General features: G+C 46.0%; 1 protein-coding gene and 2 long non-coding RNA genes across 5 annotated transcripts in view, besides 2 other annotated features; 2 read left to right on the top strand and 1 right to left on the bottom strand.

Moving 5' to 3' along the window:
- LOC124903867 (uncharacterized) overlaps window positions 1-12,521 on the bottom strand; it is a 17,289-nt gene extending 4,768 nt beyond the window's left edge. The window contains exon 1 of the long non-coding RNA XR_007065521.1: window positions 12,221-12,521. This is a non-coding gene — a long non-coding RNA (uncharacterized LOC124903867). The remainder of the gene's footprint in view (window positions 1-12,220) is intronic.
- Window positions 4,845-7,334, top strand: LOC100506730 (uncharacterized). Its single transcript, NR_037847.1, has one exon. It is a non-coding gene; the product is annotated as an uncharacterized LOC100506730 (long non-coding RNA).
- Window positions 10,934-11,755: an enhancer, noted in NCBI's record as "H3K27ac-H3K4me1 hESC enhancer chr1:19615320-19616141 (GRCh37/hg19 assembly coordinates)". NCBI's record gives its function as "activates a minimal SCP1, AML or CMV promoter by ChIP-STARR-seq in naive H9 embryonic stem cells {active_cell/tissue: H9 hESC(naive)}" and the evidence as "EXISTENCE:reporter gene assay evidence [ECO:0000049][PMID:30033119]".
- Window positions 11,756-12,578: an enhancer, noted in NCBI's record as "H3K27ac-H3K4me1 hESC enhancer chr1:19614497-19615319 (GRCh37/hg19 assembly coordinates)". NCBI's record gives its function as "activates a minimal SCP1, AML or CMV promoter by ChIP-STARR-seq in primed H9 embryonic stem cells {active_cell/tissue: H9 hESC(primed)}" and the evidence as "EXISTENCE:reporter gene assay evidence [ECO:0000049][PMID:30033119]".
- The window catches only part of AKR7A3 (aldo-keto reductase family 7 member A3), a 14,542-nt gene continuing 13,432 nt past the window's right edge, over window positions 11,811-12,920 (top strand). For all 3 annotated transcript variants that reach the window (XM_011541046.4, NM_012067.3, XM_047449607.1), the window contains exon 1: window positions 11,811-12,085. In XM_011541046.4, the coding sequence (XP_011539348.1) occupies window positions 11,872-12,085 (214 nt within the window). In that variant the 5' untranslated portion in view covers window positions 11,811-11,871. The remainder of the gene's footprint in view (window positions 12,086-12,920) is intronic.

Genomic DNA, 12,920 nt, shown 5'->3' with positions numbered 1-12,920 from the left:
AGTGGGTCAGTTGTATATAGTGCCTCAATAATATGTAATAAAACAATCAATTAGCTCAGAAATCTGTTAGAGCAGGGCTCAGCAGGGAAGCCTCATCTGTTCCTCAGTGTCTCAGAGGTGATCTAGCAGCTGGAGGCTAGGGTTGCCTGAAGACATTCACTCAAGCATGTGGCAGTTGCTGCTGAGGGCCAGCTGGAATATCAGCTGCTGTCATCAACCGGCACACACGTGACCTCTGCATGTGGCTTCCAAGGGAGCACATCCCAGGCAAACTAGGCAGAAGCCATGTGGCCTTTTATGTCCCAGCCTCAGAAGTCCATAACATCACTCTTGTGTCCTGGGAGGAGAGTCAAAGATACCTGTGCAAAGAGCACGTGAGAGAATGGAGTGGTTATCTTTGGAAAATAAACTGTAACACTTGGAGCAACAGTCCTGAGTGGAGAAGGTGAGCCCCGGGACCTGCCAGGAGACTGTGTCTTGACTATCCCCATCAGAGATGCATTTTCTGCTATGTCACATCCCATCCGTTAGAATCTTCCGGATACTATATCTCATAGTTGATGGTCTCTTGAATTCAGCAATTTCATATCTAAAGAGATTCTTGAAGACACCATGTTGTACACCTTAAATATATATACAATTTTTATTTGTTAATTAAAAAATAAATAAGTGAGGCCAGGCGCAGTGGGTCACGCCTGGAATCCCAGCACTTTGGGAGGCCGAGGCAGGTGGATCACGAGGTCAGGAGTTCAAGACCAGCCTGGCCAATATGGTGAAACCCCGTCTCTACTAAAAATACAAAAATTAGCCGGGCGAGGTAACAGGTGCCTGTAGTCCCAGCTACTCAGGAGGCTGAGGTGGAAGAATTGCTTGAACCCAGGAGGCCAAGGTTGCAGTGAGCTGAGATTGCGCCACTGCACTCCAGCCTGGGTGACAGAGCGAGACTCCGTCTCAAAAAAAAATAATAAGTAAGTGAGAAGGAACAAAAAAATCTAAAGAAGCAGAGCTGGATCTGGAGAGCATCTCATATATTTAATCATCCTCAAACTAAGGAAGCTGTTCTGTGCTGTATGAAAGACTGAAGGAGGAGGGGGCATCGATTTTTTATTTTATTTTATTTATTTTTTATTTATTATTATTTTTTTGAGACAGAGTCTCACTTTGTTGCCCAGGCTGGAGTGTAGTGGCATGATCTCGGCTCACTGCAAGCTCCGCCTCCCAGGTTCACACCATTCTCCTGCCTCAGCCTCCCGAGTAGCTGGGACTACAGGCACCCACCACCACACCCGGCTAATTTTTTTGTATTTTTAGTAGAGATGGGGTTTCACTGTGTTAGCCAGGATGGTCTCAATCTCCTGACCTCGTGATCCGCCTGCCTCGGCCTCCCAAAGTGCTGGGATTACAGGCGTGAGCCACCATGCCTGGCCGATTTTTTATTTTAACGTTTTGTTTTATCTTACTGTTTTTCCTTAGGTGAGAAAAATGTACCCTTCCATGCCTGTGCTTTCTAAATTTTGGGACTGATACAGATCCACAGAGGCCACACCTAAAATTAAATTATCGTTAGTGCTAAAACTTAATTGACTGTGTATATAACTGTGCAATTGCTGTTACTGATATAACTGTTTGGGGTTCATTCAACAGATTAAAGAAGCAAGGTCTTGCATTTAACACACAAACTAATGAGATACTGCTTTATACAAGAATTTTAAAAACACTGTCATATGGTTTAGTGTAGTTAATGTCATGCTTATGTCATATAACATAGCATGTTAGAGTTCTCTAGAGGGACAGAACTAACAGGATATATGTACATAAGAAAGGGAGTTGATTGGCCAGGTGTGGCGGCTTATGCCTGTAATCCCAGCACTTTGGGAGGCCGAGACAGGTGGATTATCTGAGGTCAGCAGTTCGAGACCAGCCTGACCAACATGGTGAAACCCCATCCTACTAAAAAAATACAAAGATTAGCTGGGCGTGTTGGCAGGTGCCTGTAATCCCAGCTATGCAGGAGTCTGAGACAGTATCACTTGAACCCAGGGGGTGGAGGTTGCGGTGAGCCGAGATTGTGCCACTGCACTCCAGCCTGGGCAACAGAGTGAGACTCTGTTTCAACAAACAAACAAACAAACAAAGGGGGGGGAGTTTATTAAGGATAATTGACTCACACGTTCACAAGGTCAAGTCCCATGATAGGCCGGCCGCAAGTTGAGGAGCAAGGAAGCCAGTGGTGGATCAGCCTGAGTCCCAAAACCTCAAAAGTAGGGAAGCCAACAGTTCAGCCTTCAGTCTGTGGCCAAAGGCCTGAGAGCCCCCGACAAACCAATGGTGTAAGTCCAAGAGTCCAAAAGCTGAAGAACTTGGAGTTTCATGTTCAAGGGCAGGAAGCATCCAGCACAGGAGAAAAATGAAAGCTGGAAGACTCAGCAAGTCTGCTCTTCCATCTTCTCTTGCCTGCTCTATTCTAGCTGGGCTGGCAGGTGATTAGATGGTGCCCACCCAGATTGAGGGTGGATCTGCCTGTCCCAGTCCACTGACTCAAATGTTAATCTCCTTTGGCAACACCCTCACAGACACACCAGGAACAGTAATTTGCATCCTTCAATCCTATCATGTTGATGCTCAATATTAACCATTATACATTGGTTCAAGTTCTTTCTTCAGTCACAAGAGTAACACAGGTAGAAGAGACAAATGAATAAGTGCCAAGTCTTGCTGCAGAGTTTCCTTCATAAGTTTTGTTTGCAACCTGGCCATTTCTTTTCTAAGGTCACTTTGTTCATCAGTAAGATGAACTCTGATTCTCTTCTAGGTCCTCCAAACTCCGTAGGAATTGCTGATTTCAGTTTAATTTGTTTCAGTGTCTCTGTCTCTGAACCATTCTAGCTTATAGACAACTCTTTTGTTGCTCTCGAAACATTGTAGCTAGTTTTTGTTCCTCTGGTTCCTCAGCCTTCACTGTTCGTGTTCCAATCTTGAAACAAAGTCAGAAACTGCTTAGAATATTTGTAATGAAGTTTCTGCCTTTCCTCTTGTGTTTTCAAAACATGTTCAATTCTCTTCTTAGTGGTGTGGATAAAAGCATTCATATACTCCTGTAATCCCAGCACTTTGGGAGGCCGAGACGGGTGGATCACGAGGTCAGGAGTTCGAGACCAGCCTGGCCAACATGGTGAAACCCCGTCTCTACTAAAAATAAAAAAATTAGCCGAGCATGGTGGCAGCGCCTGTAATCCCAGCTAGTCAGGAGGCTGAGGCAGGAGAACTGCTTGAACCCGGGAGGCGGAGGTTGCAGTGAGCCGAGATCGCGCCATTGCACCCCAGCTCTGGGCAACAGAACAAGACTCTGTCTCGGAAAAAAAAAAAAAAAAGCATTCATATACATTCTAGCCTTTTTCTCTGTGTAGCAAAATCCTGTTTAATATCAGCTCCGCTTACTTGTAACTTCTGTACATCATCCCCCACGTCTTCCTCATCTGTTCCTACAAAGTGCTTTCTTTCTCCATGCTCATCAGTTCCTGAATGCTTTCCTCCCAGCTCATTTCCTGGGCTGCCATAACCTGGGCCTCCACTGCCTTGGCAACCTTCACGATGCACTCCCTGTCCACAGGCTCCATGGCTGGCTGTCCTGGAACTTCTGAACCTTGTGAGTGCAATGATGCACTGGAAGTAGGTGGAGATGTGTGTGATCTGCAGGCTTGGGTATCTGGAGGCCAGTGGGCACACTGGACACTCCCTGTGATCTAAGAACTTATTTAGGCAGATAGTGAGGGTAAGGAAGTCCTTGGTAAGGTTTTCCTTTTAATGAAAAGCAGCCCCCGAATCATTTCTTTCCTAACGAAGTGCAGCCTGTAAAATCAAGCTGCAGACATAGATCAGCAAGCTGGAAGCTTGCAGGGGTGAATGCCAGCAGCTCTGGCAATAGGAAAAGGCCCCCTGGAGGCTAGGCATGTTCAACATGGTGGCTCCATCTCCCCTTTTTCTTTATCAACCACATGTACAGTAAGGAGCAGGCAACGTGGCGCCAGCCAGGTAGAGAAGCCATTTGTGGCCAGGTGCGGTGGCACACGCCTATAATCCCAACACTTTGGGAGGCTGAGGCGGGCAGATCACCTGAGGTCAGAAGTTCAAGACCAGCCTGGCCAACACGTTGAAATGGTGTCTCTACTAAAAATACAAAAATTAGCTGGGTGTAGTGGCAGGCGTCTGTAATCCCAGCTACTCAGGAGGCTGAGGCAGGAGAATCTGTTGAACTTGGGAGGTGGAGGTTGCAGTGAGCCGAGATCACACCACTGCACTCCAGCCTGGGAAATAGGAGTGAACCTCCATCTCAAAAAAAAAAAAAAAAAAAAAAAAAAAAAAATCCATTTGCAAAATAGATTAGGGTGGGGCGGGGAGCTTCTTCCTGTACTATGTAAACATCGCACCTGTTTCAACCAATCTTTGAGCCCTATGTAAATCAGACACTGCCTCCTCATGCCTGTCCTTGTGCATGCTGCTGCAGGCTGGAAGACCCACTCAGGTGCCCCTCTCTCTGCAGGAGAGAGAGCTATTCTCTTTTTCTTTTGCCTATTAAACCTCTGCTCTTAACCTCACTTCACATGTGTTCGTGTCCTTGACTTCCTTGGCATGACGCAGTGAACCTTGGGTATTACCCCAGATGAACGACACTGCTTCATTCCTTGGCATGAGGCAATGATCCTTGGGTCTTACCCCAGATGAACGACACTGCTTCATTTTGGGGCCCCAGGTGGGATCAAGGTATCATCATCAGAACAGTGAGGACAGGAGTGGACCTCAACCATGTCCTTTCATTTCAAGGTTCTTGGCCTCCATTTTAAAATCAAATCAAATACTGGGCCCCCTTCAGCTATTTAAAAATGATTAGTGTGGCTGGCAGCCTTACAAGACTTGGGGGACAGGCTTGCTGGGGAGAACATTCTGAAGCAGTGGGAATTTTTACAGTTCAAGGAAGTAATCCTGTTAGGCAAGATCAGGAAATACCGTAGTAACTGAGGTAGAGCTCAAGGCAATGCCATTTTTGTGATTTTCTAGGAACAGTGGGTCTTCCCCTCCTCTCCCCATAGTGAGGTCTCTCTCTGCCCTTGGTCTGGAGAGCACATGGCATTTAAAGGTCAACGGCCCTACCCAGTGGCATAGGAATCCTCTCCATGAGGCACATTGTCAGCCCTTTGCCAAAACACTCTGGCTTCCCAATTCTCCTCCCTTTTTGCACCCCTCTGCTGGACACCAGGCTTTATGCTACTTCCATAAATGGGAAAACTCTGTCTTCAACAATAAGGAGGAAAATGTCCTCCAAAACCAAATTTTAGTCTCAATACTGTCCCATCAGCAGGAAAATAGCCATTTGGTTCCTATGTTTTTTTTAAGGCACCTATTCTGCTTGTAATTAAAATAGTACTTAAATAGTAAGGGTAATTTAAGTCCGGAAGTTAACTGGAACCATTCTCTAAGGGTACTTTAGCACGAGTCATAATAGCAGGATATAGAGCTCAAACCAGCACACTTCCTCCATTATGGAGGGAAATACAACAGTTGCCTAAATGCAACTGTTACATAGTCTCTCCCAAGATCCATTTTTCAGGGAGCCACACAGGTCACACAAGTCTTGGAAGTCAAAAGGAAATCATAAGTGCAGGACTAGAGTCACATGGGTAAGCATGACTAACCCCAATCACTTAGTTCCTCTGGTTCCATGGCTGGGGGTCACACCTGCAACCATGGGAGGCATGTTTAACAAGATGCTGGGACCCAGGAACCAAGGAGGGAAAACAGTAGGGGTGGCGCCCTCACTGTCTTCCCCTTCCCCTCCTCTGGAGTGCGTTCTGAAGCACTGGGACTCCTTTGACTCTGAGATTTGGAAGAAAAAACAGCTCATTTTCTTTTGCACAAGAGCATGGCCTTCTTACTAGACCTTTGCAAGCATTGCACAATGGACTCAGCTCTTTCAGCAGTCATATCAGACAGGCCCAAAGGGAATGATTCCCCAAAACTAGAGAAACAAACTCCCAGGAACCCCTCAAATGAAACTTCCAGATGCCCTGGCCCTTCCTCCCTCCCTTTCACATTGTCAGCTTCTCCAATTCTACCACCCAAACCCCCAGACTTTTCTATGGTATTTTTCCTTCCTTCATTCATGATTTAAAATGGCTCCTATCTCTTCTTCTATAATGTTCCTCCAAACTGGGAGAAGTTAATTTCCTCAAACCTTAAAATGCTTGGCTTAGGGTTGAGCTCGGGGAACAGAACCCAGAAGCCTGACATGCTGTCAAAAGGGTAAAAATTTTTATTTTTATTTTTATTTATTTATTTTTTTTGAGACAGAGTCTCGCTCTGTTGTCCAGGCTGGAATGCAGTGGTGCAATCTCAACTCACTGCAGCCTCTGCCTCCCTGGTTCAAGTGATTCTCCTGCCTCAGCCTCCTGAGTAGCTGGGACTACAGGCACGTGCCACCACACCCAGCTTGCTCCATCAACACTGAATATTAGTGATTGAGTTGTTGCCACTACTGGCACTCAGAAAATTATCCAGCTGTGGTGGTGTGCACCTGTAGTCCCAGCTACTCCAGAGGCTGAAGTAGGAGGATCTCTTGAGCTCAGGAGGAGGTCAAGGCTGCAGTGAGCCAAGACCATGCCACTGCACTACAGCCTGGGTGACAGAGCAAGACCCTGTCCCCCACCCCCCCCCCCAAAAAAAAACAAACAACAACAACAAAGAAATATATTGAAATAACTGGTATCTTCAATACAATGTTGAATAAGAGTGGACATCATTGGTTCCCAATCTTAGGGCAAAACTTTCTGATTTCATCATTAAGTATATTAGCTGTAGGTGTTTTGTGTATGCCCTTTAAAAATTATTTTATTTTTTGTAGAGAAGGGTCTTGCTATGTTGCCCACACTGGTCTTGAACTCCTAGGCTCAAGCAATCCGCCCATCTTGTCCTCCCAAAGTCTGGGATTATAGGCATGAGCTACTGCTCCTGGCCTATGGATGCCCTTTATCAGTTTCAGGAATTCCCTTCTATTCCTAATTGGCTGAGAGGTTTATTTTCCTTTCATGAATAGGTATTAAATTTTGTCAAATGCTTTTTCTGCATCTATTGAGATGGTGATATGGGTTTTGTCTTATAGCCTGTTAGTATAGTAAATTATATTGATTGATTTTAAAATATTAAGCCAACCTTGTATTCCTGGGATGAAACTAACTTGGTCATGGTGCATTATTGTTTGTATTTACTACTGTATTCATTTTGCTAAATTTTAAAAGGATTTTTGAAAAAAATAAAGAGGATTTTGTGTCTAGATCCATGAAGGATATGTGTGTAGTTTCTTTTCTTGTAACATCTTTGTGTCATTTGGTATCTGGTAATGCTAGCTTCAAGATGAGTTGGTAAGTGACCTCTCCTCTTCTATATACTAGAAACATTTGTCCAGAATTGATGTTGTTTCTTCCTTAAGTGTCCAATGAAGCCATGTAGACCTGGAGTTTTCTTTGTGGAAATATTTTTTTTTATCAAGAATTCAATATCTGGGCTAGACGAGATGGCTCACACTTGTAATTCCAGCACTTTGGGAGGGTGAGGCAGGAAGAATACTTGAACCCAGGAGTTTGAAACCAGCCTGAGCAATATAGCGAGACCCTGTCTCTACAAAAATATTTTTACAAAATTAGCCAGGTGTATTGAGGTGCACCTGTAGTCCCAGCTACTTGGGAGGCTTGGGCAGAAGGATCGCTTGAGCCCAGGACGTTGAGGCTGCAGTGAGCTATGATTGCACCATTGAACTCAGAAGACAAAGCAAGACCCTGTCTTAAGAAAAAAAAAAAATTCAGGTTGTTGTTTTTTTTATTTTTTTAGACGGGGCCTGGCTCTGTCGCCCAGGCTGGAGTGCAGTGGTATGATCTTGGCTCACTGGAACCTCTGCCTCCTGGGTTCAAACGTTTCTCCTTGCCTCAGCCTTCCAAGTAACTGATTATAGGCACACACCACCACACCCAGCTAATTTTTGGATTTTTAGTGGAGATGGGGTCTCAGCATGTTGACCAGGCTGGTCTCCAATTCCTGACCTCAAGTGATCTGCCTGCCTCGGCCTCCCAAAGTGCTGGGATTACAGGCATGAGCCACTGCGCCCGGCTGTCTCATTTTTCCTTACTCATTTTCCAAACACATTCCTTACTCATTTTCCAAACATAAACTTTGGTAGTTTGTGTTTTTCAAGGAAATTGTCCATTTCATCTAACTTACTAAATGTATTCACATAAAGGTTTTAATAATCTACCCTATTGTCATTTAAAATGTCATTTAATGTCATTTAATGACATTTAAATATCACTTAAAATGATAAATTTGTATAATTTGTAGTGGTGTCTCTTCTGCTCTTTCTGGTGTGGTTAATCTGTGTATTCTCTCTTTTATTCCTGATCAGTCTAGCCAGAGGTTTATCAACTTTAGCGATGTGTTTATAGAACTACTTCTGGTTTTACTGACTTTTGCTGATGTTTTTGTTTTATATTTCATTTATTTTGGCTTTTTTTTTTCTTTGAGATGGAGTCTTGCTCTGTTTCCCAGGCTGGCGTGCAGAGGAGTGATCTTGGCTCACTGCAGCTTCTGCCTCCCGGGTTCAAACGATTCTCCCACATCAGCCTATTTTGGCTATTATTTTTATTATTTCCTTTCTTCTGCTAATTTTGGTTTTACTTGACTCTTCCTTTTGTGGTTTCTTAAAGTACAAGCCTCGGCCGGTGCAGTGGCTCACACCTGTAATCCCAGCACTTTGGGAGGCTGAGGCGAGAGGATCCCTTGAAGCCAGGAGTTCAAGACCAGCCTGGCAAACATGGTGAGACCCCTTCTCTACTAAAAATACAAAAATTAGCCGGGCATGGTGGTGCATGCCTGTAATTCCAACTACTCAGGAAACTGGGACATGAGAATTGATTGAACCCAGGAGGCTGAGGTTGCAGGGAGCTGAGATTGCACCACTGCTCTCCAGCCTGTGTGACAGAGTGAGACTGTGTCTCAAAAAAAAAAAAAAAAAAAAGTAAATGCTTACATTATTGATCTGAAATATTTCTTCTTTTGTAATATGTCAAAGTGGTGCTATAAATTTCCCTCATAGCACTACTGTGGCTGCATCTCAGAAAATTTGATATGTCCTGTTTTTACTTTCATTCAGTTCAAAATATGATCTAATTTTCCTTGTGATTACATATTTGACCCATGGGTTATTTAATTTCTAAATATGTGGGGATTTTCCAGATATCATTCCATTATTATTTTCTATTTTTCCTTTTTCTTCTATTTGTTAACTTATTTACTTATTTTCAGTTCCCTCTCAGGCTCTAAATTCTGTTATTCTTTTCTTTTCTTTTCTTTTTTTCTTTCTTTCTTTTTTTTTTTTTTTTGAGGTAGAGTCTTTCTCTGTCACCCAGGCTGGAGTGCAGTGGTGCGATCTTGGCTCACTGCAACCTCCGCCTCCCAGGTTTAAGCAATTCTCCTGCCTCAGCCTCCTGAGTAGCTGGGATTACAGGCACACACCACAATGCTCGGCTAATTTTTTTGTATTTTTAGTAGAGATGGGGTTTCACCATATTGGACAGGCTGGTCTTGAACTTCTGACCTCAAGTGATCTGCCCACCTTGGCCTCCCAAAGTGCTGGGATTAAAGGTGTGAGCCACCGCACCCAGCCTGTGTTATTATTTTCTAGTTTAATTCCATCGTGTTCAGAGATGTACTTTGTATGATTGGAATCCTTTCAAATTTATTTATTTATTTATTTATTTATTTTTAATATGGAGTCTCACTCTGTTGCCCAAGCTAGAGTGCAATGGCCTGATCTCGGCTTACTGCACTCTCCACCAACCAGGTTTAAGTGATTCTCCTGCCTCAGCCTCCTGAGTAGCTGAGATTACAGGGGCACGCCACCACGCCTAGCTAATTTTTGTATTTTTAGTGGAGACGGGGTTTCACTGTGTTGGCCAGGCTGGTCTCAAACTCCTGACCTCAGTTAATCCACATGCCTTGGCCTCCCAAAGTGCTGGGATTACAGGCGTGAACCACCGCTCCCAGCCTCTTTTACATTTATTAAGACTTGTTTTATGCCTCCAAATATGGTATATCTTGGTGGATGGGCACTTGAAAAGAATGCATATCCTGCTGTTGTTGGATATTCTATTCATGTTGTTTATGTGGAATTGGTTCATAGCATTGAGTCTTGTATACCTTTACGGAGTTTCCGTAAATTATGACTGATAACTGTTCTACAACTATTGAGAATGGTGTGTTGAAATCTCCAATTATAATTTTGTATTTATCTACTTGTTCTTTAGTTCCATTATTGTTTTTCATGTATTTTGATGATCTATGCTTAGGTGCATATATATTTAGAATTATATCTTCTTTATTAATTGACCTCTTTGTCATTATGGTATGTCCCTCTTTGTCTTTGGTAGTTGTTGTTGTTGTTGCTGTTTTGAGACAGGGTCTCAATCTGCAGCTTCGACCTCCCAGGCGTAGATGATTCTCCCACCTCTGCCTCCCAAGTAACTGGGACCACAGGTGCATGCTACCACAATTTGATAATTTTTAAAATTTTGTTGTAGCGATAAGATCTCCCTGTGTTGCCCAGGCTAGTCTCAAACTCCTGGACTTAAGCAATCCTCCCTTCTCAGGCTCCCAAAGTGCTAACATTACAGGTGTGGGCTAGTATGTCACCCACTGTGTGGGCCAGTATTCTTTGTTTTGCAATCTACTTTGTCTGATATTCACTTAGCCATTCCAACTTCTTAAAATTTAGTTTTGTCAGTGTATGTCTTTTCCCATCTTTTTGCTCTTAAACTATCTCTGCTTTTATATTTGAATAGCTTTCTGGTATTTACCATATAGTTTGGTTTTGCTTTTTTATCCATTCTAACAATCACTGCCTTTTACTTGTGAGCATTTACATCATTTATATTTATGTAATTATTGATATGATTGGGTTTAAATCAATTTTGCTATTGGTTTTTCATTTGTTCCATCTGTCTATTGGTCTTTTTTTTTCTTTTGTATTTGGAGACAGATTTGCCCTCTGTCACCCAGGGTGGAGTGCAGTAGAGCTATCACAGCTCACTGCCGCTGGGCACTGGTCCATTTTTCTATCTTTTTTTTTTTCTTTTGAGACAGGGCCTCCCTATGTTGCCCAGGCTGGGTTCAAACTCCTGGGCTCAAGTGATCCTCCTGCCTTGATCTCTCAAAGTGTTGGCATTACAGGCGTTAAGTCACCAGAGCCAGTCAGTTTTTTTTCACTTAGGTACAGAATTCAATGCCAACAGTTCTTTTCTTTCAACACTTTAACCATGTCACTCCATGGGGACGCTGTCTTGAGCCTTTGGTAAGCCTCATTCTCCAGGACCACACGGCAGGCGCGACAGCCCTAGGTCCACCCCACCCCGTAAGCGCTCCCTCCGGGAGGAGACAGAAACCCAGGACAGCTCCGGGGCAAGGCCGAGGAAGGAGGGACGACGGGGCAGGGAGGCCCGAAGAGTCCCCGCCTTTTGGGATAGTCGCCACCCTTGGACCCCCTCACCCTTGGGGACGTTGAGGAGTGTTAAAATCTCCAAGACGCGAGTCACCGGTACGAAGCCACAGCCATTTCGCTGCTTGCTCGGTGCAAGTGCAGAAGGTCCTAGTAGCCGAGCGTGGAGTCGAGCTCGTGGGCGGCGTCGGGCACCTTCGGCCGCGCCCTCAGCTGCACCCGCCGGTGGGCGGGGCCCGAGCCCGTCTCTAAAGCCACGAGGCCGCCCGCTCCGAGCCTGGTGCTTCCGACCGCTGCGCGCGGCTCCTGGGCTGTCACAGTCTCCCGTTGCCGCCGTCATGTCCCGGCAGCTGTCGCGGGCCCGGCCAGCCACGGTGCTGGGCGCCATGGAGATGGGGCGCCGCATGGACGCGCCCACCAGCGCCGCAGTCACGCGCGCCTTCCTGGAGCGCGGCCACACCGAGATAGACACGGCCTTCGTGTACAGCGAGGGCCAGTCCGAGACCATCCTTGGCGGCCTGGGGCTCCGGCTGGGCGGCAGCGACTGCAGAGGTAACAGTGGCCCCTGATCCTCCCCCTGCACGGTGCAGAGCTGAGCCTGTCCACAGCCGTGTACCGCCCCGCTCTCCCTGGCCCCGGGGCAGCACCCAAAGTTTTGTCCCCCCCACCGCCCCCACCCCTGTTCACCTCGCAGCCTTGGGAACACCAGGCTCCTTAGGCACGTCTAGCTCCGGACAACTTTTCTCTCGTCTTCTCTTCTGTTCGTCTCTCTTCTCTTCCGGGAGGTAGCCAGCACCCTCACTGACGCCTGGATGACTTGGTCTTGCCTGGAATGACTTGGCTAGCCCCTCTCTGGAGCACAAAAAACACTGGGATCTGGCATTGTGCAGCTCCTGTCCCCACCTGTGCCCTCCAGGTGCCCTTGACGGGCCTGATCTGCAGAAATTCTGTTCTTACCGCCTGGCACTCCCTGGCACAGTCCAAAATCAGAGTTTGGACCCAGCACACTATCTGCTTCCTCCTTTGCACATGCCAGCCTGCTCGGGGCCCCGGACTTTGCTCTGAGTACCTTGTGGTACTCACAAGGGCACCTCACAAGGGTGGCAGTGCCCGGAAGCCTTGGCAGCTCCCTCAGGGGGATGAGGGATTGGGGTGGTACAGAGTCTCACTGCCCTCTCTGTGGGAGGCTCTGTCGGAGGCTATTGGAGAGAAATGGACACTAACCCACTCCAGGAAGCTCCAGTTCTAGAGATGGCTGGGGAGCCCAGAGTGACCCCTTCCTGGGAGGGACCCCGTGAAGAAAGAATGGATAGGAGTTTGCCAGGAAGAGTACAAGGGGCAAGGGCGTCAGGGCAGTGGGCATGGGTGTGGAAAGGCAAATGTGTTT

The sequence above is a fragment of the Homo sapiens genome, chromosome 1 (assembly GCF_000001405.40).
Source record: "Homo sapiens chromosome 1, GRCh38.p14 Primary Assembly".
Lineage (NCBI taxonomy): Eukaryota > Metazoa > Chordata > Mammalia > Primates > Hominidae > Homo > Homo sapiens.
This window is presented reverse-complemented; position numbering and strand designations above follow the sequence as displayed.